Source organism: Homo sapiens, chromosome 13, assembly GCF_000001405.40.
Source record: "Homo sapiens chromosome 13, GRCh38.p14 Primary Assembly".
Lineage (NCBI taxonomy): Eukaryota > Metazoa > Chordata > Mammalia > Primates > Hominidae > Homo > Homo sapiens.
In genome coordinates this window covers 97,366,008-97,389,784 of record NC_000013.11, presented here as the reverse complement: position 1 = coordinate 97,389,784, position 23,777 = coordinate 97,366,008, and the positions used below count along the sequence as shown (strand labels likewise).

Below are 23,777 nucleotides of genomic sequence, written 5' to 3'. Positions count from 1 at the left end.
TTTAAAAAAAAAGTTTCTAAAATAACTCTGGAAAAAAAATTGCAGTTTCTTTCTTTCTTTCTTTCTTTCTTTTTTTTTTGAGACAGGGTCTCCCTCTGTTGCCCAGTTAGGAATGCAGTGGTGTAATCACAGCTCACTGAAGCCTTGAATTCCTGGCCTCAAGCAATCCTCCCACTTTAGCCTCCTGAGTAGCTGGGACTACAACCACGCACCACCATGCCTGCCTAATTTCCATTTTTATTTTTGTAGAGATGGGGTCTTCCTGTGTTGCCCTGGCTTGTCTCAAACTCCTAGGCTCAAGAAATCCTTCCACCTCAGACTCCCAAAGTGCTGGATTATAGGCGTGAGCCACTGTACCCAGCCAGTTTCTTAAATTGATATATAATAATATGTATTTTAGAATGCATTTAGATTCTTGCTTATTTGCTGAAATTGAAATGCTATAAAGAATGAAATTCCTAACCATCTGGAAAAGAAGTATTCTATGAAAAGCATAGCAATGGCAAATTAGAATGGGCAAACGTGGGTTATGGAAGTTACCTATGGCAAGGCTTTGAACTTGTATTTGACGAACAGACATAAATGACCACTGAAATTTAATTGGACTGTAAATCAGTCTTGGAGCTAACTAAAGCATAAACTAGTCTCACCCAGACTGCACTTCCCCTCTGCCCCAGTCTACCGATGAGCTATTATATGAATAAAGACATCAATAAAAATGAGCCCTGGGACTATTGAACTCTCAGCTGTGACTGCTGCCTGGCATCTAGGCCAGAAAACTCTGGCCATCCCCTGGTCTTTGTCTTTGGCTGTCATTTGGTATAAAAAACGAATCACACTCTTGGCATCTGTGAACTTCAAGAGGTTCAACAGATTTAATCTTAGAAGGTGGGAAAGCTTTGGGTGTTTTTCCTTATAGGTTCCATTTTTGGGTGGCAGCATTTTTCTTGGAAATATCTTCTGATTATTAAATTTTTTTTTCCTGAGAAATACAGCTTGCTGATACAGTCTGTATTATCTGTACTCTGGGGTGAAATATGCCCTGGAGATATAGACAGAACAGGGATACAGATCAAGAACAGTTATCAACTGAGGGCCTGTCATATCACTAGCACCCATCTGATTGCACTTCTGTTGTTAGGAGGCACAGGACCTTACAGGCCCGAGAGTCCCAGGGGAGTGTGGGACAGATCTAGCCGGAAGACCACCCACAGGACAGGAGGAAAGTGGAAAGCCAAGTGTGTGTGCTTGTGGGGACTGGCGGGAGGGAGAGGAGAAGCTGCTTTGAGAGAAAGAGGAACCTCTTGTCTAGTTTTTAACATGGCTTTTCTTTATTCAGATTATATGTTGATTTAGCACTAAACAAACATAATTTAATGTTTGATGAATAGATACATTTTGTGTGCTTTCCTGTTACCTCTTTTCAGAGATTTTCTCCCATACCAATGATATATATATATATATATATATGTATGTATGTATATGTATAAACTTTTTCCATCTTTATTGTAGTTTTGTGGCCAGGAGGATCAAAACCTTCATGGGGTGCCTGAATATTTCATTACAGATAAGAAACATACCTTCTTAAAATACCAGGCTTATATGTGGCCCTGGCACATGGGCTACTCATCTGATGTGGATCAACCTTAATTTTGAACTTCTCCATTTCTTAAAATGCTAATTAAAATACAGTTCACCAAAGTGAGCTCAACAGACCAACTGTCCATCACTTCTTTCCTGTCCTGCATTTGGTCAAAGCTGGTGCCCAAAGTTCCCTACTCAACCTCCAAGGCACAGCACCCCATGCTGTCTTGAAAGGGAAGTGGAAAACTCATAGGGTCTGCCAGGGTATGCGTAAGTCAGAGAAACAGCCACCACATTGGGGGTCTCCTGCCAGTCTCCTCTCTGAAGCACCCTTGTTTTTGTTTGAATTTTAAGATATATCCCCTTGATTTTCAGGAGGCTCTGAGAATTTACAAGCTAGAGTCTTACAAGCTAGGTCAGTATTGTGATCATATTTTGCAGACATGGAAAAGATGACGTGCATAATTTTAACTGGCTTGCACAATGTACAAAGTGCTTGCACAAACCAGCATGAGTTTGGAGATGTCACTCTGCTCATTGGTGAAGGCATCCCCTCCAGGGCATGGGGACGGTCTGAGATAGGGCGACGGGACACAGAGGTTCCAAAGAGCATGGCTGTGCCTCATGGAGCCTGCTTCAGAGGGTGCTTAGAAGAACCCCTGTGAGCTTGGGAATCAGGGGAAGGCGAGGCCCTGGGGTGGAACCTACAGCAAATGCACTTGGAGCTTTAGAGGGGAGACAGTGAGACTGTTTGGAGGGGCTAGATGGGTGGAAATTGCTGGGGGACTGTGAGGCTGCTGGGCCTCTCATTCAGGGCATCCTTGCCTGGGTGGTCAACCACATCCTGCCCCAGGGCTCCTCCAGATGGATGTTGCAAACGTGTCTGCTTATAGCATCAGAACACCCTACCGCACCACAGTGCCGCTGCCTCAGCTGCTGAGAAATCTTGGCAAACTATGACGGTAGGAAAGAAATCAAAGATATTCAACAAGCTATATTTCTATTTGTCTCCCTGGGAGACTATTGCCTCAAGTAAGTAGTGTTTTATATAACAAAGCACCATGACAGGAGAAGGAAGTTAAATTATTAAATAAGATTCTAGCTAATCTAGTATGGTAAATCAAAATTCTGAACTGCAAGCATTATTTTCAATTCCTTTTTCCACTAAAAGGAGAACAGACAAAAATAGGAATAGCTGATGCCCACAGTATCTGTGATTCTGTTTTTAAGGCAAAGATACACTTGATCTCAAATCATGAGTACTTTTCTAAATCTTCAGTGGCCCCTCTGGGTGGAACAAGAGTATCTCTGATGCAAAAATATCAGCTGGCTACAATGGAGTCTGCTTATCAATAAGGAAAGGAAATCACATTAAGTGAATTAAACTGTCTCCCCTAGGTGGTTGGATTTAAGAATCTGATGATTCTGCTCAATATACGTTCTCAAGTTACCCCAATGTGAATCCAGTACCTGATTAGTTTCATATTTACTTGTTGAAGACAAAGCATGAATGGCTTCAAAAGCATCAAATGGGTTATTTTTCTATCAAATATGTTATGAGCAGCCATTTAATAATTATAGTGTCCTCAGTGAATTGCCTGCCATTGACTCACAGTGCAGTGGTAGCCAACCTTACTAAAAAGTGGACCAGATTAGGTACTGTCTAATACTAAGCCTCCTGGGGCCAGGCAGGAAAGATATGTAAGTGAATAGGCCAGGTCGAGGGTGTGGCAACAGCCACTCAGCCCCAGCCAAGTGCTACCTGCGGAAACATGGGCTCCATATTACTTGACCTTTTCATTTGCCAAAAGAAGCTGGAAATTCAGCAATGAATTCACATCACAGAAGGATCATATATATCTTTGGGCTAAATTCAGCTAAGAGCTGCTGGTTTGTGTCCTCATCAGCTTTACTTTCTTGAAGGCAATATCCACTATATTCACTAAGTCTGGATGGCTTCCTGAGCTGGCATCAGCCAACGCTACAGGCAACATCATGGCAGGCAGCAGTGGTAAGAGTGAGACCAGGAGAGCAGGTTTACAGGAGAGTTAGTCCTACAACTTTCAGACATTTGGCTTTCGCCCAAAGAAAGAGAGTATGTGACCAACAAGGCACCCTCTACCTAAAAAGAAAATACCAACCCTCCCTTGACTGAGTCATCAGTTATGAAACATGCATGTTTTCTTGTCTCTGCCATGTGATGATGGATTTAGGCTGAGCCATCCATACCTGTCACTCATGATGTGCGCTCAAAAAAGAGCTGAACAGGGTGAGAAACACACTTGGTTCAAAGCAAAATAGTCTCTGCAGAGACTGAAACACTGAACTTGAACTAATCAGCACCATGAACTTAACAGCTGAACTAACCAGTCCTCATGCAGAATGGTGCAAGAGAAGACAAATCAACGTAGAATTTCCTTAGTATTTCAGAGGTACCAAGTATTAATACATTCTGGGTTTTCTACCTTGAGGTTGATCTCCAGGAATTGTACGTATGTATAACTTTGGAAACTGTGGGCTTCTAGGTGACTTCTAGAAGTGTTTATACTTCTTATGTAAAAGTGCTCATTTCAAAGATTCAAGGATGTCAGATGAGTTATTTTTTAAAATGATAGCTCAATATTAAATTTGGTAAGAACTGTTCCTGCTCTGCTTAATTGATAGGAAAACATTCCAGTGAAAATGCCAAGAATTTCCATATATGCAAGTCATCAAGCAATTAGAAAAGAGAAATAATGGATGTTTTGGTTCAGTCTTCCTGTGAATAGCCATTAGGACTGTCTTTGTAATGTTGAGTTTGGATGGCATAGATAAAAAATACCTTATAACATATTTGTGCAGCCTTGCTAAACTACTAAGGAATCTCAATGCATCTTGATGTCACTAACATGGAATCTCAAGTGGGTACTTCCAAGCAGGGCTGGTGCACTAACTGGGTCCACAGCCAAACCAAGCTCTTTAAGGACAGGGGGACTGTCTCATTCATCTTTATAGCCCCAGTATCTAGGATAGGGCTGGGAATTTATTAATTGTTGCTTGCATGGATGGCTAAATAAATTGAAGTCATTGAAGACACAGTGCCACAATGCTGGCATCAACAGAAGACCACCAGACCATTCATGGGAGAAACAGGAATGGGGCAGAAAAAGAACCCTTTGCACAAGATGTGTCATCTGTGCACCTTGTTAGGGTAGTTAAGGACTCAGAAATATCTAAGAGAAATAAACATTCCCTCCCCATTCTCCCATTCTCCCTACTCCCCATTATAGATAAAGGGGAAAATATTCCAGGCTGGGGGCAGAATCACTCACAGAGAAGGGAAATACAGCAGATAAAAATTCACCTAAAGTAACCTTCTAGACTTGGTAGGTTTCTTAGAAATCTTTTGCCATGGTTACAAGGCCCTGTTTCCCCAGAAGGCAGTTAAAGATATTAATAATATTTCACTGCCTCTTTAAACAAAATTTATTATTAATTTAAAAATAGGCAATTAATTGGCATTTCCTAAAAATAGGGCTAAGCTAAGGAGGCTCGCACGTTGCTCACCCTCCCAGTCTGTGTTTCTTCATCCAGTGTTTTCTTCTGATTCTGTCTCACAAGTTCCTTCTTCCCACTCTCTGTTAGCATTGCTTCCTCCTTTAGTCTGTGCACCATTTAATATTCTCTCCACCTTTTCCCCACTGCCCCACACCTCTTCTCCACAGCAGCCATGACTGTCTGAAATGCCCTGATCTTGCCTGAGAGGCTACACTTGTGAGATCTTTCAGTTGAAGCAAACTGCACAGAGGCAAAGGGACATGTGTACATTTTGACTCCAGTATAATTCAGTACTTAATCACAGTATGGATTACTGAAGTCAAAAGAAGTGTCTTAGTCTCTTAGTGAATATATGGTATCAGATAAAAAAGTAATTAAAGCAATTATAATTATACATGTTAACAAATGTACACTTTCAAGAACTTTCTTTGGCCTATTTCATGACTATAAAATTTTAAATATAGGCCGGGTGCAGTGGCTCATGCTTGTAATCCCAGCACTTTGGGAGGCCTAGGTGGACAGATCACTTGAGGTCAGGAGTTCGAGACCAGCCTGGCCAACGTGGTTGAAACCCTGTCTCTACTAAAAATACAAAAATTAGTTGGGTGTGGTGGTGCACGCCTGTAATCCCAGCTACTTGGGAGGTTGAGGCAGGAGAATCACTTGAACCTGGGAGGTGGAGGTTGCAGTGAGCCAAGATTGCGCCACCACACTCCAGCCTGGGCAACAGGACGAGACTCCCGCTCAAAAAAAAAAAAAATTAATTATATAAAAAGCTCAGAGATCATCAGTAGTATATGAAAAGACACTTAAAAATAGTCTGATTCATTATTCTGGGGGAATATTGTTCGGAGGTTGGGCAGTGTCATGCCATATTTGACTTATTTTCAAAATGTAGTTTTATTTGCACAGAAAAGGCATACACTGAGGTCCTGGGGAAAAATTATCAAATATGACAATCAGCTTTACTCTGGAGAAGAGCACACTGAGGTTGTAATGTCCGTAATATTTCATAGCACCTTCAAGAGGAGTTTTGCCAGAATTATTGTTTTGTCCTCTGCTGTTTAGTAGAAAGTTTATATTCAAAGCTCTAATTCCCCTAGTTTCAATGATACTTTTTGTGGATGACTCATTTCTGTCCAATATTTTCCACTTGATTATATTTGAACAAAATATTTTTAGATATACTAAAGAAAAATTGTCATTTAAAACTATTAATAATTGACGTTTTACATGAAAAGCAATAATACTGTCCTCGCTGAAGATTACTGACCAGGGTTCACATTGACAACTTAGAGTATCTGGATAAAATTCATAAACGGGAATGCTCAACTTTGAATAAGATTCTGCTCTTTGCATGAGTCCATGTCACATGTAAAAACATCTAGGTTCTTATGAGTATTGCAGTTAGGCTTTGATTATAATCCCCTCCCTGACTCCAGACAGTCTCCTTCAATCCTAGCTCCCCTGGGGGAATTCTGAGGATCATTTCTGTGGCTCTCATGCTGAGATGGGAATCTTGTCCTCAGACCATCTAACAACCCATATGTCATCCAAGGGTGAACACTTTTCTTCTCCTATATGATATAAATGAGGATGAAGGTAAAGAGGCATGAGAAGGAGACTTTTCTTTCCTGGCCCTTTCCGCTGGCGTTCTAGAAGTGTTTTAAGCAAAGACATATTCAAGAGCACTGTGTATTTATTCAGAAGGAGGGGAGTTATGCGACTGTGTTTCCTCAGCAGGTGCCAGAAAAGGTAAAATCAAAACAAAACCCTAGATTGGAAGGACTGCATGATAGCCAGGAAAAAAAAAGTGAAACCCTGTCTCTACAAAAAAATTAGCCAGGCATGGCCCAAGTGAGGCTAAGGCAGGAGAATCACTTGAACCCGGGAGGCGGAGGTTGGAGGTTGTGGTGAGCCAAGATGGCGCCACTGCACTCCAGCCTCGGTGACAGAGTGAGACACCCTTTTCAAAAAAAAAAAAAAAAAAATAGTTGGCAGATGAAACCATGGCATCAAGAGAAATGGGGAAGAAGGTGGTGTGAATGGGTCTGGTGGCTACCCAGAAGCAGGCCCGAGATTTTATCTTCCTATTCCTTACCCAACATTTGTGATTCCACACCATACTTCCCATTCCGACTCCACAGGCTTTCCCCGGATGACATTCTAGTCATGGAATTCACCAGGGATTATGGCGCCTCCACAGCTCCAGCAGGTGGAGGAGGTGACGGAATTTTCTATTTTCTGTTGCATGGACATCTGGGGGTTTGGTGATATGTTTCTTGAATCCCAAAGATATAGCAACATCATAGACATGAGTGGCATTTGGCCTGGGCCATGCTTTAGCACTGTGTTACTTATAAAAATGCCACAAACTAAATAAAATGGTTGTAGGCCAGCCCAGAGATCTAACCACCAAGGCCATGGCTGTCTCTGTAGGAGAACTGAATTTCAAACCAAATGACAAAGGTAATTTTGAATATGTTTAAAATTAGGGACTGTATGTGTACTAAAGCAGGATAAATTCCTCTACTAAATCAAGAAAAAATATATAATATGTGGGACACACTAAGAAAATATTTGAAAGTGTTTAAAATATTTACAGTAAGTTGTGTAGGAAGTGAGGCTCTCTGAGATTAAATAGGCTGCTTCACTGAAGATGACTCCTGGACATAAAGTAGAATCTGAGAAAACATTTTTATACCTTTAAAAATCAGCACTGTATTCACTGCTGTATTCCCAAGGTAGGTCTTAATATTATGTAACATAATATGTAATATATGTAATATGCAGACAATATGTTACATAATATTAATTAATATAATATGTAACATAATATTAAGACCTACCTTGTTGTATACATTGAAAATATTTTCCTAATATATCTATTTTTGTTCATGGTTATTGTTGATATAAGTATATCTGGAATATTTTAAAGAACAGGAACTGGCAACTCAGGAGTGAAAAATAAAAATTTAATAAACGTGAAAGTTAAAAAAATTAAAGCAACAAGGGAATTCCAAAAAAATTCATTTATGCAGCAACAGAAAAGAAATTTCAAAAGCATTCATATATGATATGGGTTTTTTTCAAAATGAGATTTTGCTCCCAGTAATAAATTGAAGATTCAGGTCAAGAAAAATCACAGAAACAAGATCTTGTTGGATTTAACATAAAATGTCCAATCCTGCTCAATGCCCTGCTTTTGTATCCATTACCATTATGTTGGACTTAGAATCCTGGGCACATTTTGGCCACAGTACCCATTTTAACAGTGGAGTAGAATGTGTAATTTAGCCTGCTAAGAATTGGCTTTCAAGGCATCAAAGGGAGAAAAGCAACCAAATGCTAAAATGCAGTAAAAGGAACAGTAAGATTAATGTAAGGTACTGGACTTGGACATGTGTCTTTGTGTATCGTCATCATCTTACACATTTCTCAAACTGGTGGGATGCTGCTGCCATATAACAAATTTTCCAGCAAAAAAATTAGTGTTTTTTTCTTTTTAGTTCTTTGCCTGTGTGTGGTGTGTGTGTGTGTGTGTGTGTCAGAGAGAGGGAGAGAGAAAGAGAGGGACAGAGAGGGAGAGATAGAGAGAGAGGTTAACAAAAACCACTCAATTGTGTGTAAAATCTAGGTGCAAAGGAAAAATCAAAAAGAGTACTGGAGGGGAATTTCAGGAGGCTTGTCTGTGCCACCAGTCAGATTTGTGCCCTTTCGAGCCTTAGTTCCTCACTTGGCTTGTATCACGCTGGCACCTCTGCAGTGCGGTAAGTAGTTAAGCCAGGTCACCATCTGCCCTCCCCAGTAAGCCCTCAGGAAGTGCCAAAATAGCCAATCGTCGGCAAAATGGAAACCAAAGGAGGAAAATGTTTAGAGGAGGAGGAGAGCTCCCACATTATCTTGTATTTCTTTATTACTAACCATCCCCCATTAAAGCTCGGTGGTGAGGCCCATTCTTTCAGCATCACCATTTACTTTCTGAGATGACCCTTCTCATATGATAAGGACTCTGACTGTAATTATTTGTACATTTGTGTATCGCCTGTCCCCCTCACCATGTAAGACCCATGAGAGCAGGAACTACTGTTTTCATTGCTGTATTCCCACAATTCTGAACTGTACATGGCTCAAGGTGGGTGTGGTTTTTTTTTGTTTGTTTGTTTGGTTTTGCTAGAGTCTTGCTCTGTTGCCCAGGCTGGAGTGCAAAGGCGCAATCTTGGCTCACTGCAACCTCTGCCTCCCAGGTCCAAGCGATTGTCCTGTCTCAGCCTCCCGAGTAGCTGGGATTACAGATGCCCACCACCACACCTGGCTAATTTTTGTATTTTTAGTAGAGATGGGGTTTCACCATGTTGGCCAGGCTGGTCTCAAATTCCTGATCTCATGTGATCCGCCCACCTCAGCCTCCCAAAGTGTTGGAATTATAGGCATGAGCCACTGCGCCCAGCTCAAGGTGGGTTCTTAGCGTACATTTGTTGAGAGAAGATATAAAGATATGTTGCCACAGACATGGTTTCATTTAGAAAGAATACGTCTTTGCACTCAGTTCCTTACCTTATGAAAACAGAATTCTTAAAGGGAAATGTGGCAGCCATAAAGAATTTTTAATGCAAGAAGAACCATTTTATACTATAAGATTTTATTAAATGAAAACCTAGGTCCAATCAGACATTGTCCTTGTCACTCCTTAATCCTTTCTTTGGAGAAATGACCACTCAGATCTTTTGTCTATTTTTTAAAATTGTGGCAAAATAGACATAGCATAAAACTCACAATTTTCACCATTTTGAAGCGTACAGTTCAGTGGCATTAACTCCATTCACCTGGTTGTGCCACCATCACCACCCTCCATCTCCAGAATGTCTCCTCATTCCAAATGAAACCTGCCCCCGTTAGAGAATAACTCCACATCCCCCTTTCCTGCCAATCCTGAATCCCTTTCTCCTTCCATTCCTTCTTTCCCACCCTCCCACCCTTTCTGTTCTCCTTCCCATTTGGGGCTTCGCAGTGAGACCCCTGGCTCTTTCTGCTTGTACATCTGAATCATCATTAAGATCCCCGTTTGCTTCCTCATTTAGCTCTGTGGTTTCACTTACAACTGAATTAAACTTCTAGTTGTTCCCTTTACAGTCGCTCCTGCAGGCTGCCTAAAATATTCATCCTCAACTAGTGTTGTTACGTTTACCTGAGATCAATTTGAAAGTGAGGTTCTGTGGGGATGGTGAAGAAAAATAGTATCTTTATTTTTAAATTATTATTGTTAAAAATTAAAAAGTGAGTCTCGATTGAGAGGACTCTTTTTGATAGACTCTTTTCAGGCAGAAGTTGTGTGCCAGTTTTCCCACCCTGGGAAGAGTGAATGGTGCCTTTTCTCAGTGCTTTCTAGCTCTGGTTCACTGGACTGAAATTTGGATTCTCTTGCTATTCTCACCAAGCAACAATATTTTCACACCATTTCTGATATTGAGCTTGGACTTTAAAAAGTTTTCGCTTCTACTAAACTTTCTTCTCAACTAGTCAAAACTTTTCAAAGCAATAAACTCAGTAGTTCGGAGTTTTTAAGGGGAGTCATATGAAGAGGTTCATCCCAAGCCTACACTGACCATAGATTCCAATCTAATTCAAACAAGGTGGGTTCACAAAAGAACAGGATTTGCAGGCATGCAAGCCTGAGGTCTACACAGATCCAGTTGCTTCCTACCTGCTTGAATCTTAAGCAAATTATTCTCTAAGATGTGCTCACTTATATAAAATAGATAAGAAACTTCACAGAGTTATGTTGAGTAGTAAGAGAAATAATGTATATACACATCTGATATGTAATAGTGGTTTTTGATAAATGTTGCTTCTCTTTCCTTAGGCTATTATTTTAGGATTCATAATCCTAAATAATTTTTTTTCAGTTTCTATTTAAATAGACATTCAAATAATACTATGGTTAACTTAAATATTATACGATCTGTATGGCACCCCGTATGTTGGAAATAAACTTGGTTTTGAAGAGATTAAGATTCTTAAATATGAGCACTTAATTCCTTTTCTGTATGTGTATCTCCTGAACTGTCACTGATGATAAAGTATAAACCGAATTTCTCTGATTTTTCCTGAAAGTATTGACTGTCAATTCATGTTAATCATTTTTCAAACTAAAATATTTTATTATGAAAGCATCAACAGCCACCAGCTCATGATAATCAGTGTCCACTGCAGTAGGAAGTTGACATCCCATGAAGGGCAGGATTTCCCACTCTTTAAAGTTAAACTTGGTTCAAACCCGGCTTCTAGGCTTAACAGATATGTTACCATACATAAGTTAGTAAACATATTTTATTCTTAGTATTACTCATCTCTGGAGTGGGAATTAAAAATTGTTTCTAACTTACAGGGTTGGTGTGAGGATCAGATAATGTATTTAACAAGTGCTTGGGGATAGTAAGCATATGATAAATGCCAGTGTTATTACATAATAACATTTCAATTATTTTCAAGTAATGTTTCAATTAAGTAATATTATATAGTAATATTTCAATTATTTTCATTTCCTGGTCTAAGCCACAAAATGTGAATATGTTGAAAAGGCACAGTGTTTATTAATAATTCTTAGATCAGTGTGCTGAGAGTAAATGACTCTCTACGGACACCTCTGTGCATCCAGTCTCATCTAATAAACATCTGTCTTTCAAGCTCCAAGCCTTCACCTCTCCCCACATAAGTTCCACATAAGCAGCGGAAAGATGGAGGGCGCTTTCTAGTTCACGTTAAACCATTCAACCAACTGATCAAAAACTCCAACCCAACAACTCTTAAATACCTTTGTCCAAGGCAAAGGAATACAATGGAATTTTTCTTCTCATTCTTTACACACTTCTTCGCTTTCCCTATTTTAACTTTTTTCCTTGTGCAAAGCCATTCTTCACGTTACGAGGTTCAGAGAAAAGCAAAGAAAAGAATATGAACAATAGGAATCGATTTAAACAATTCCTTCTGTCCTAAATCCTCTAAGCTAAAGCGGTTCTCTGGACCTTTTGCATATTTCAGTATAACAATGACAAATATTGAAAGAATGATGAATGGAACTGTTATGAAATTATTACTAGGAAAAAATACTTGGAGAAAAGGAGGGAATTAGGTTTGACTTCTTCAAGTATCTTTTTGATTCCTCAAAAACTGTTCTAAATTGTAGGGAGGAAGCAAATTTATTTTATTGAACAAAGTTCAAATAAATGTAGAACCTGCATATTCAAGCTGAATTGCGGCTTGATGGAGGGGAAAGAGGACTAAGCATATTAGGAGACTGAGTTTTATCCTAATCCCTTATGTAAACTTGACTAAGGTCAGTTAACCACTCTAGGTCCTTTTCCTCATTGGAAATATGAAATATTAGGAGCTTCTGGAAAGTTCTAAGTCTGGCTTTGCCACTTAATGTTATAGTATGATCTTGAGCAATTTCTTCAGCTTCTCTAAACTGGAGTTTCCTCATCGCTAGAGAGGGGATCATAATGGTCCCTTACAGGACGTGTTGGGTTTCAATGACATAATTCATACAAAAGGCTTAACCCAGTGTCTGGCACGTGGTGGGTTCTTTGTGAGGGTAGCTGAGTTATGTTGTCGCTGTCTGTATGCCCTGGAGCAGTTCAAGGCCCCTTACACGATCCGTTAAAGCACTTTCTCAGGAAGGCAGTGTTGGGAAGGGAAATAATATTGTTCTAGGCAGGACATGGGTGATCAGGTCCTGGGCCTGGCTCTCTTGCTATGTGTGTGAATTGGGTAAGCCACTTTGCCCATCTGGGCTCCTATTCCAATTTATAATGTAATTTGCATCATAATTTTTCTTTTTTATGTTTTGTAGAGGTATGGTATGATGGTGGAAAATCTGCTCTTAAGACTTACTGCCTTTCATATCTATGATGTAATTGATGCTGGTCTCAAGTCAGACCTACAATGCCTGATGTGCCTGTGATCAGGGGAAAATGGGCAACATTCTACAATGATCGCCTTAAAGATGCTGCTTCCAGAAATGCATTGCAGCAAGCAGTAAAGATTATAGGAAGTTCATTGACATGTGCTCTGAGATCTTTGAATACTCCAGAGCAAGGGGAGCAATGATAGGAATAATATAATTTGATTATCGAAAGTAAAACAAAGAGACCAAAAGCTCTTACATTTTGTTCTTGATGCTAAAGCATGATGAATTCTAACTGCTAGATTAGCTATAGTTTGTCATAAACTGGTGTTAGAAAATGCCAGTCAACAAATTTGTCCTTTATAGTACAAATCAAAATGAAGGGGTATAGATGAGAACCATCCTTTTTATGGTCAATGGGAGAGAGGTCTCATAGGAGCGTTATGTGACAGAGAGGAGAAAGGCAGTGAAATCCACAGACACCACAGAAGTCAGAGAACAGCCTCTGGGTGAGCAAAGGCAAGCCAGGGATCATGGAGCCTCTCTGAATTTCCCTGCTTCAGAATGATTCACCCTTTTCCCCTCAAATGTTCTCTTTTCTCTCTATCCCAGTTTCATCACTTTGTCGATGAAGCAGCTTTCTCACCAGTTAGCTTGACTTGGGCTGGCTGTCCCTGCACACCTCTACCCATTCACTTTCAGTTGGTTTGAGTTTCCAAGCCTCTCATGGAACCTGTCCTGTCCTGTTCTCATCCTGCACTTTAAGGCCCTCCATAACCCGACCTTCTGATCCACTCAGCTGCAATTTCTAGGACTGCCCCACCATATCCTCCTCTTCACGCTCCCTGGTGTCTCCCACTCACCCCACTCGCTGGCTCACATAAGCCACAGTGTCCCCTCTTCTTTAGATCTGACACAATCACAGCTGTTCTCTCTTCTTCTATCATGAGATATAAAGTCTGAGATGGATTCTGAAGTTCCTTTCTAAACCACACATGCTATCGAGGAAGAATGTTAAACAAGGGGAAAAGCATTGACTTCAAAGTCAGACAGATGTGAGGCCAAAGGCAGGCTCTGCTACCTACTGGAGCTGTGACCAAACATGTGACGTCTTCACATGTAAAACAGGGAAACAGAGTCCCGGTGGGTTTAACATAATGGCGTGTGGAAAGCAGATGGCTGGTGCATGGGTAAGCATGGGTTCCCTTTTCTCTTTGCCCTACCTCATCTCCACCTCTTCAATTTCCAGCTGGTCATGGTGTCAGGAATAACCTCACCTGTCCCTTCTCTGTCTCATTCCTACACACCCCTCAGACCTATGACACTTCAGGGATGAGGCCATGCCATGGCGCTTACTTTCCCAGCAGCAACGTTTGCCAGCTGGACTTGGTGTTTTATGACATTCTCTGCTTGTTTCAGATCTCTTTGACTAGGCAGTGAGCTCTTAAGTATCGTTAGCATTTCCCCAACCTGGTGGCCTCTAGAGTGGTCAGCAGACCCAGTCCAGTCTGACCTTGGGAGTCACTGCCTCCAGCAATGTCACCCCAGAGGAATGCCAGAAGGGGCTGAGAGACCAGAGCAAATGCCAGTGTGTCTTTGACGTGTGGCAGCATCTTATGTGTTTGGTAAGTGGAGCCTCAGTCTTGGGTTTGTCCGTCCTCCACATCCACCTGCACAGAAAAGCTGTCAACTTCCCCAAATGCGCAGGCAGACGTGTGAGAAGGTAGGCATCGGGGGCAGAGCTTGGGTAGATAAGTGCCCATGAGTAGGAATTCCATTCCGCTCACAGCAACTCTTATAGAGAAGAAAACCCTGCCCGTTGTTCATCCCTTGAAAATGGACCTGAATTCCTTCACTGTAGCTAGTCTCTCTTTCCTTACAAATCTAGAGCTGGAAATAAACACCCATATAGGATGAACTATATATTCATTTTGCTCCAATGAGAAAACCTAAAATTGGAGAAATGGAACATGATTTTACTACCATCAACAAAAGCCAAAATACGACTGGGAATATGACTTTTCAGCCTATAAAAGACCCCCTCCAGTCCCATCAAACTGCAAAGGAGGTCGGGCACAGGGGCTCATGTCTATAATCCCAGCACTTTGGGAGGCCGAGGTGGGTGGATCATGAGGTCAGGAGTTTGAGACCAGCCTGGCCAACATGGTAAACCCCGTCTCTACTAAAAATACAAAAATGAGCTGAGCGTGGTGGCGGGCGACTATAATCCCAGCTACTCAGGAGGCTGAGGCAGAAGAATCATTTGAACCTGGGAGGCGCAGGTTGCAGTGAGCCAAGATTGCACCACTGCGGCCGGGCGCGGTGGCTCACGTCTGTAATCCCAGCACTTTGGGAGGCTGAGGCGGGCGGATCACGAGGTCAGGAGATCGAGACCATCCTGGCTAACACGGTGAAACCCCGTCTCTACTAAAAATACAAAAAATTAGCTGGGCGTAGTGGCGGGCGCCTGTAGTCCCAGCTACTCGGGAGGCTGAGGCAGGAGAATGGCGTGAACCCGGGAGGCGGAGCTGGCAGTGAGCCGAGATCGCGCCACTGCACTCCAGCCTGGGCGACAGAGCGAGACTCCGTTTCAAAAAAATAAAAATAAAATAAAAAGATTGCACCATTGCACTCCAGCGTAGGTGACAGGGCGAGGCTCCATCTCAAAAAAAAAAAAAAAAAAAAAAAAAAAAATGCAAAGGAGGATGGGATTTGAGGTGTTATGCAAAGGACCGTCCACAGGCAGGAATGTGCCGCATAAGGACTCTTGACATTTTCTCTTCAGCTGCACAGAATTGGAGCTGATATGATGTCTTTATGTGCTATATACAAAAGAATTCTACCCAAGTTTCTCACCAAGAGGTGTAAATTATTCATGAAAAATGAAAATGTACTAGATTACAACACTTACATAACTGAGCCTTTTCTTAGAGAATCTGCAGATGCATTTATTAATTAAACTTCAGGGTAGGCCTGCAAAGCAGCTGCTGCTGAGGCAGGAAAATAAAAAGTCTATTGTCTACTTATTTTCTAATTTCTTGAAGAGAAAAATTAATGTGCATCTATATTGTTCTCATAGATCCAAGACCACCTAAGATAGACAGAGTATCCCCCAACCTCCTCCTACCCTTAATATATATATATATATATATTTTTAGCATACTAAGTAAGTCTGGATTGTGCTATCCTTAGCCATGCATACAGTGGAATTCAGCCTCAAACTGCCAAGGAGCTTTAACGAATAGTGTTAACTGAATGCAAATGCTGCAATTTTTATAGTTTTTTTTTTTTTACACAAAGAAATTGTGCAGGTTTCAATCTCAATCCTTCCACTCTCTCTCTCTACTCTCTCTCTCTCTCCTGCCTTCTCTACAAAATGTTTGATATGGCAATTCTCCCTCATCTGAAGTAACCACATCCATTCTCCAACCTGAATCCCCCCTCTACAGTTAGAATGTAAGCAAAAAGTTAGAGGTGGCTAAACGACTTAGGCAGCATAAGGCAGAGAGAGATGTCTCGGCCCTGATTACTGTTTACAAGGGCTGGATTCTGACAGTTGCTGTCTCTGCTTTTTTGGAGAACAACATACGTGGGGCCCAGCTGCTTTCTGTAATCTGTTCCCAGGCACAAGCAAACTGCGAGAAAGGAGTATTTCACAGTTTGATCAGCCATCCATAGAGGCTGGCCACTTTACCATGTATTTCAGGAGAGAGAGAGGACAGGATCCTACTCCTCCCACACTGGGGCCTTGCTGAACCAAGATTTTTCTTGTGAAACAAAATGCAGGCCCCAAAATGGGTCAAGTGGTGAATAGTGGGGAATGTTTAATGCCTCCTACATTTGTCTGAATATAGTCCAGACAGATGGCATTGAATAATAGATGTTTTATAAAACTCTGAGATGAGAGATGAAATAAAACACGATCTTACCTTTCTAGACTTCTTGGTTAGTATAGGTTAATTTATATATCCAAGAACCCATATACAAATAACTTTAAAGTTATGTTCATGTTTATAGGTGAGAAACAAGCTTTTCTCTTCCCTCTTCAATACTTTATAGCTGGCCAGATAAAACATAATATATGTCTGGTTACATGTTATCTTTCTGATAAGATATCATTGAAATTGATGATCATATATAATAAAACTATGTCAGGTAAGTCTAGAAAATGAGATTTTCTAATTTATCAAATATAAATAGAGGGCTGTATGTATATGACATATTATCAACTAATTTCCAATAAATTCTTCCTAAGGCCAACTTTGTAAGGCCTTCCTAAGGCCAATTAAGTACATTAAGTTTAATGTACTTAATCTTTGGAGGAGAGTTCAGAAGATGTGGTAAGACCTTTATGACATATTATCAACTAATTTCCAATAAATTCTTCCTAAGGCCAACTCTCTGTTGAATGTACTTAATCTTTGGAGGAGAGTTCAGAAGATGTGGTAAGACTTTGAGGTCATAATATTAAACATGAATGATCATTTTTGGAGATGTGATTAAGTGTTGGTTAACATATTGCCCAGAATATAATCTGATTTCGTTAGCTTCTAAGGCACTTCTTGTGATGCTCCGTAAAAAGATTCCCAATATTAATATGTAAGAATCTCTTTCCCTAGCAGGGACTCACGGGCCAGAATGAATTAGATGGATAATCTGTTCACTGTCCATAGAGCTCTGATTTGGAGACATGGACAATATGCATTGACTCTACACCTGAGGGGACTCTTTCCTTTAAGCAGAAGCCTGTGGTTGGAGGTAGGGTGAGCTTTTGTGGCTCTGAGTCTCATTTAGGTAGGAAATGGGAAGGCCCATGTGAAAGGTGAGCACATTGCATGTGTCCAAACAGCGAGGCCACACAACTGCTGTGCTGGCAGGGACTGAGTTTCACATCAGCCTCAATCTCTCTTTCTACCATGTGACATTTATTTAGACAGGTTTTGCCATAGTACAAAATCATTTTTATGTTTCTCTTTTGCTAAAAGTAACCTCCCTTTGTAATGGGCAAAGGCAAGACAAAGTAGGCCACTTGCCAGCTGCCATTGTCCCAGTTTAGGCTCTTGTTAAAACCTCTTAATGGCCTCTACAGACTCTCCCGCCTCGAATCCATCTGCTCACTCTTCCTAGAGTACTGTTTCCATCACTATTCTGCTTGAAAATCCTTCAGTGGCCAAGTCAGGGCCGAACCCTTTAACTTGGCATCAAGGTACCACACAATCAATCAGAATCAAACCTACGCTGCAGCCGCTCCCACAAACGGATGCTCTGATCAATCTGAATGGGAGTTATTCTCCAGCTGAACTTGATACTTCCCCAGCTTTCTTTGTAGACTTGCATTTGTCTTTCTTTCTATTTAATGATGGTGCCTTAAGGAATGTGCAAAGTCCTTGTAGAATTCAGAGGACAGGGAAAGTACTTCTTGCTGGGGGAGGAGGAGAGAGATGTTCAGGGAAAGATTCGGAGTATAAATTGTATTTTAATTGTGCCTTTAAGAATGTGATTAAGTAAATTAAATGATCTGTTTATAAATGAAGAAACTTAAAGTATATTTATTTGAAAATTATTTTCTCTCCCTTTGAAATAGAATGTAACTTTGAAATAAAAAATACTAAACAAATTACAACTTAGAATATTATAATAATTCAAGTTCAGGAATTTTACTCTGCACTCTCATTTTATTAAAATTTATTTTCATATGAAAAAGCAGGTAATCCATTACTAAGCTTTACCTCTTCTAATGTACACTCTAAGATTAAATTTGTTTCAATATAGGCATCTTTGACAGATTTACATATTCTGGTCCTTGGTCAATGGACTCAGATTGACTAATTTACATGCTACCTATCATTTCCCCCCCAACCAATTTTTTTTGTTAACAAGCTATTTGTGAGATGATTAGTAGAGGTTAGGAACAAAGTCTATGACAAAAGAAACCCATGAACCTGTTTCCCTAAGACAAAGGACTAACTTTTTCTTAGGTTATCTTACTTCTATAAAAATTATTGATAATTTTCACTGGTTATTTTATTACACTGAAATAATAAGGTCCATTATATGGTTTCTTTCTTTCTTTCTTTCTTTTTTTTTTTTGACGGAGTTTCCCTCTTGTTGGCCAGGCTGGAGTACAATTGCGCGATCTCAGCTCACTGCAACCTCTGCCTCCTGGGTTCAAGCAATTCTCCTGCCTCACCCTCTCGAGTAGCTGGGATTACAGGCATGCGCCACCATGCCTGGCTAATTTTGTATTTTTAGTAGAGACAGGGTTTCTCCACATTGGTCAGGTTGGTCTCGAACTCCCAACCTCAGGTGATCTGCCCACCTCGGCCTTCCAAAGTGCTGGGATTACAGACATGAGCCACTGCGCCTGGCCCATTATATGGTTTCTAAAGATGACCTGGCTACTTTACATAACTAGCTCAAAGCTCTGTTCAAATCCAGCTCATCTCTCCAGTGTAAGATTCATCTTAGCTTGAGCTGCTAAGGCAGTATACCATCATGGTTAAAGCAAGTCTTCTGGAGCCAAGTTTCAACTCCAGCAAGACCATTTAGAAGCTGTCTGACTTTGGCTGAGGTAGCTAACTTTTGTTTCAGTTTTACCATCTATCAAATGGGATGATGATCATTGTACCCATGTCATAAAACTATTGTTAAGAATTGAGTGTCTACATCTATACGTAACTATCCTGTCTTACATAGTATATAATAGAATATATGATGATATGTAATATATTACATGAGAGAGACCATTTAGAATCATACCTGGCACATAATAAGAGGTTTATAATAATAATATTATTACTATTAGGTATAATTTGTCTATTAAGGCCCAAATACCTTAACTGAAACAGAAAATAGTGCTTAGTAAATCTGTTTGTTGTATTTTTGTTTCCTTATCTGCTCCCAAAGCTAAATAATCAAAAAACATTTTATATTTCCCAAACATATTTGGATTCTGTCTTTATTTAATCTCAAACCACCAGTCTAAATTCAGTGAAAACTTTTATTGGTGGCACCTTGATTCAGCCTGAGGATAGAGTGGCTTGTTCAGCTTGGCTCCCCGTGGGGTAATGTGTAAATAGCACTAGACCTAAGAAGCTGTCATGGGATGTTTTCATCTATCCTCTTTCTTCAATCAATGACTTGTATCTAATTACAAATGCCTGTGAGATTTTAAATATTTGAACTGACAGTCTGAATTGATCAAATTAACAAAAAATCTGTCAAAATCCCACTATATTTTGTGTTAAAGACAGAAAAGAAGGCAGGGTGCTTATCGGTCATCGAACTCTGGAATCATTAGTTTCACTTTCATTCTGTTTGTGTTTATCTTTGTAATCTCATGCTTTGGGCCTAAAATAATAGTCACTGAACCTTTGGTTCACTGAATCTCAGAGCTGAGAGGGACTCCAGGGGCATCTAGTTCTACTCCTCCTTTCACAAATGAGGAAACTGAGATTCATTATGTTTAAATGACTTACATAATCCACGTGGGTATGATTCTATTTGAGTTTAAAGAGTGAAATCTTAACAAGATGATAACTTGTTATTTCAGTCATTACCAAGCCCTGGGTTTCCTATGACTGGATGCTAAAATAATTGCCAAGGTCTTTTGCTGATGCTTTGCTCTTTGAAACTTATTGAAAATACATAAAGAATATCATATCTGGAAATTTGTGTTCACTATTATTTATTTTTCCATGGTTTTTATCTGCAAGCAGACCTGCATCAAGAGCTGCTAAAGGATTTCTCTTCTTCATCATTTAAGTGCAATCCAGCAGCAACTATTACATCTGATAAACTGCAAAACACTGAATATAGGATTCTTGAAGCTACTGTCAGGTACTCCTTTAATTACATTTCTTTGGATTAAATTGAAATCAGAGTTCAGCTATGCTTGCAATTAAAGAAGTTGAAACCTCAACTTATTTCCTTTTCCACTCGCACCCTTCCTGAAAGTGATATATTTTAGCTTCTGAATATTCCATGCTTCCAACCTCTGCCTCCCTACACACACACATACACAGACACGAACACACACACACACACACACACACACAAACTTGAATATACCTATGGAATCTCTCTCTCAAAGTTTTTTTTCTACTAAATGGAGCCAAAGAATCACTAGGCTTGAACAATATATATGACACATGGTCAAATATTTATTATGCTAAAATAATTTATCCTACAACTCCAAACTATTTCTTTATCTTGGCTTCTTTTCCTTTCTTAAAAAAGATCTCTAAGTGCCCAAAAGGCTAAACTTATCATATAGAATTTCACTGTAACAAATACTGCTATATTATACTTCAAACTTGTATTTTATTTTATTTTATTTTATTTTAAGACAGGGTGTCACTCTGTCACCCAGGCTAGAGTGCAGTGGCATGATCATGGCTCACTGCAGCCTCGACCTCCCCAGGCTCAGGCGATCCTCCCACCTCAGCCTCCCAAGTAGCTGGGACTACAGTGTATGGCACCCCGTGCCTGGCTAATTTTTTTCATATTTTTGTAGAGACCAGATTTTACCATGTTGCTCAGGCTGGTCTCCAACTCCTGGGCTCAAGTGATGCTCCTCCCTCGGCTTCCCAAAATGCTGGGATTACAAGCATGAGGCACTGCACTCAGTCCAAACTTGTTTTCTTATAAAAGGACTTTGTAATAAAAATTGGGTCAAAAATCACATAAACATAGTTCAAGGAGGCAGGACTTCAGACTTGAAAGAAACAGGTATCCAGCTTCCCTATTAAGAATGAGTGATTGAGAAGAGCTTTGGACCTAATAATGGAAAGATGCAAACAGTCTCACTCCCTTCTCCCATCCCACATTAAATAATAATCATCATCATCATCTTCCCAGCTAAGGAACTAATCCTTGCCTGTTCTTTGTTCTGTTTGTTTCGAAGCTGGGTTGGTTTTCCTTAGAGGACCGGTTGGCATTTTAGAGGTGGGAGTGAATTGCTGAAGAATCGTCCTCAGTTGATTGACACCTGCCTCTGCACTGCTGTTCGGCCTCCCCTCCCTCCCCCACTCTCTGCTCTCTCCTGCTCTGTCACAATGCTGAGGCCACAGTCAGCACTGTCACGGGGTTTAACTTTTATTCCTGCATTCCTGTCCACTCACGCCTCTCTTTGTAGGGATGAAATCTGCAGAGCTGGAATCGTGGATTCACTTGAATGTGGAAAGCAGCATGACTCAGCCCTCCCAGCCTGCAGAATGCGGGTTGGGACTGCCGTGATCCCCCAACACGATTTCCCCTAATTTCTTTTATCCCTTGTCATCTTTTATTAGCAGAGCTGATTTTATTTTTAAAAACCCATGAAACTAAAAACCAAACCAAAATTGTTCTTCTGTGAAGGGAGGGCATGCGCAATGAAGTATTCTTCCAGGCGAGGTGAGAGTTTCTGCTCACTCACCCTCACGCTGTCTCCTTGTGGCTAGGAGCACATGTTTGCAAGTTGGGAGGCTAGGGTCACGGATACAATCAGCTTGTGACCACAGAGTAGGAAATAGCAGCTGGCTGTCACTACGAAATAGTACATCCATGGTCTCACTGGCACATGCATTAAACCAACAGAGTTAAATGCTCCTCATCAGTTATATCCAGCCTTTGTGAGTTCAGCGGCACCCATGACTCTTCATTCCGGATGGTTTGGCTCTTAGGCCAGTATTGGAGCAGATTGTAAGGTGGGAACCAAGTGAGTTTGGCAGAACCTAAGACTGAGGTCAAATGATCATAAGAATTATTCAGACCTCAAATATGACACTTAGGCCTCAAATATGACTCTTTCTAAGAGGAGATTTTTTTCCTCCACACAGATGATAGGGTCTGAATGAACCGAATTAAAATATAGCCAGTTTTGAAGCACCCATGGGTGCGCGTCTACAATTTTTATGTGGCCATTCACAAACCACTGGATAGGTAATGCTGTACTAAAAGGAATTTAAGCCTGTCAGGTTAATTACACAATATTAGGTACGAAAACAAACAGTGCAACACAAAACATAGCTACATCATTATTTGCAGTAAATGTTAACTCTAAATAAGTGCAACCTGTCTGTAAATGCTTGCTATAAACTAATTAAAAAAATAAAATTTGATGGATAAACATGAAAAAAAAATTCTCACCGAGAATTTTTTTTTTAAATATCAGCACTCATTTAGAGTTTGGGATTTGTGAAAGAAAGCTTTAAAAGGAGCAAACCTGATTGGCTGTGGCTGTTGCTGCGAAGGGGACACTTGTTGCAGGAGTTGTTGCTGCAGAGACAGTGGCGGACGTAGCGCTGTGCATCATGGGTACTTTCAGGAGGGGAACCATGGGAGCAATGAACAGGAGGGTGTAGCATTATGGTAATAGAAGTGGTATTTTGGCATGGTGAATATCAGAGCAGCAAGCCATCATGGGTTAAACCAGCAGATGGCATGCAATCACAATGCAAAGCAAGGAAGCATGGGAGAGAAATAAAAAAGGGAAAATAGCTTATTACAAGTACAATTAAAGGAAGTTTTAAAACATAATCAGTGATTCCCAGAAAGGCCAAAGCAGATTACTTTGGTTGATGTATTTATAAACATTTTATTTCTAACAATAGATCCATTCCCAATTCAGTGTATACAGTGTATGCAATAATGGTTGTTTCTAAAATTGTGAAAGGTGATGTCCAGTGAAGTAAGAATATGTGATCATCACTTTTAATCATAAACTCTGAGACATCCAAGTCTCCATATGGAGACCTAATTTGGGATAGGA

The 23,777-nt window shown here is 40.4% G+C and overlaps 1 protein-coding gene across 55 annotated transcripts in view; it reads right to left on the bottom strand.

Moving 5' to 3' along the window:
- Positions 1–23,777, bottom strand: part of MBNL2 (muscleblind like splicing regulator 2) — a 252,287-nt gene that overhangs the window by 4,336 nt on the left and 224,174 nt on the right. For 19 of the 55 annotated variants that reach the window (NM_001382649.1, NM_001382675.1, XM_047430004.1 and 16 more), the window contains one exon: positions 23,232–23,326. The exons of 34 other annotated variants lie outside the window; for them this stretch is intronic. In NM_001382649.1, the coding sequence (NP_001369578.1) occupies positions 23,232–23,326 (95 nt within the window). Of the gene's footprint in view, positions 1–11,935; positions 12,036–23,231; positions 23,327–23,777 lie in introns of all 55 variants that reach the window. 2 more of the 55 variants (NM_001382687.1, NM_001382686.1) reach the window with 2 other exon arrangements.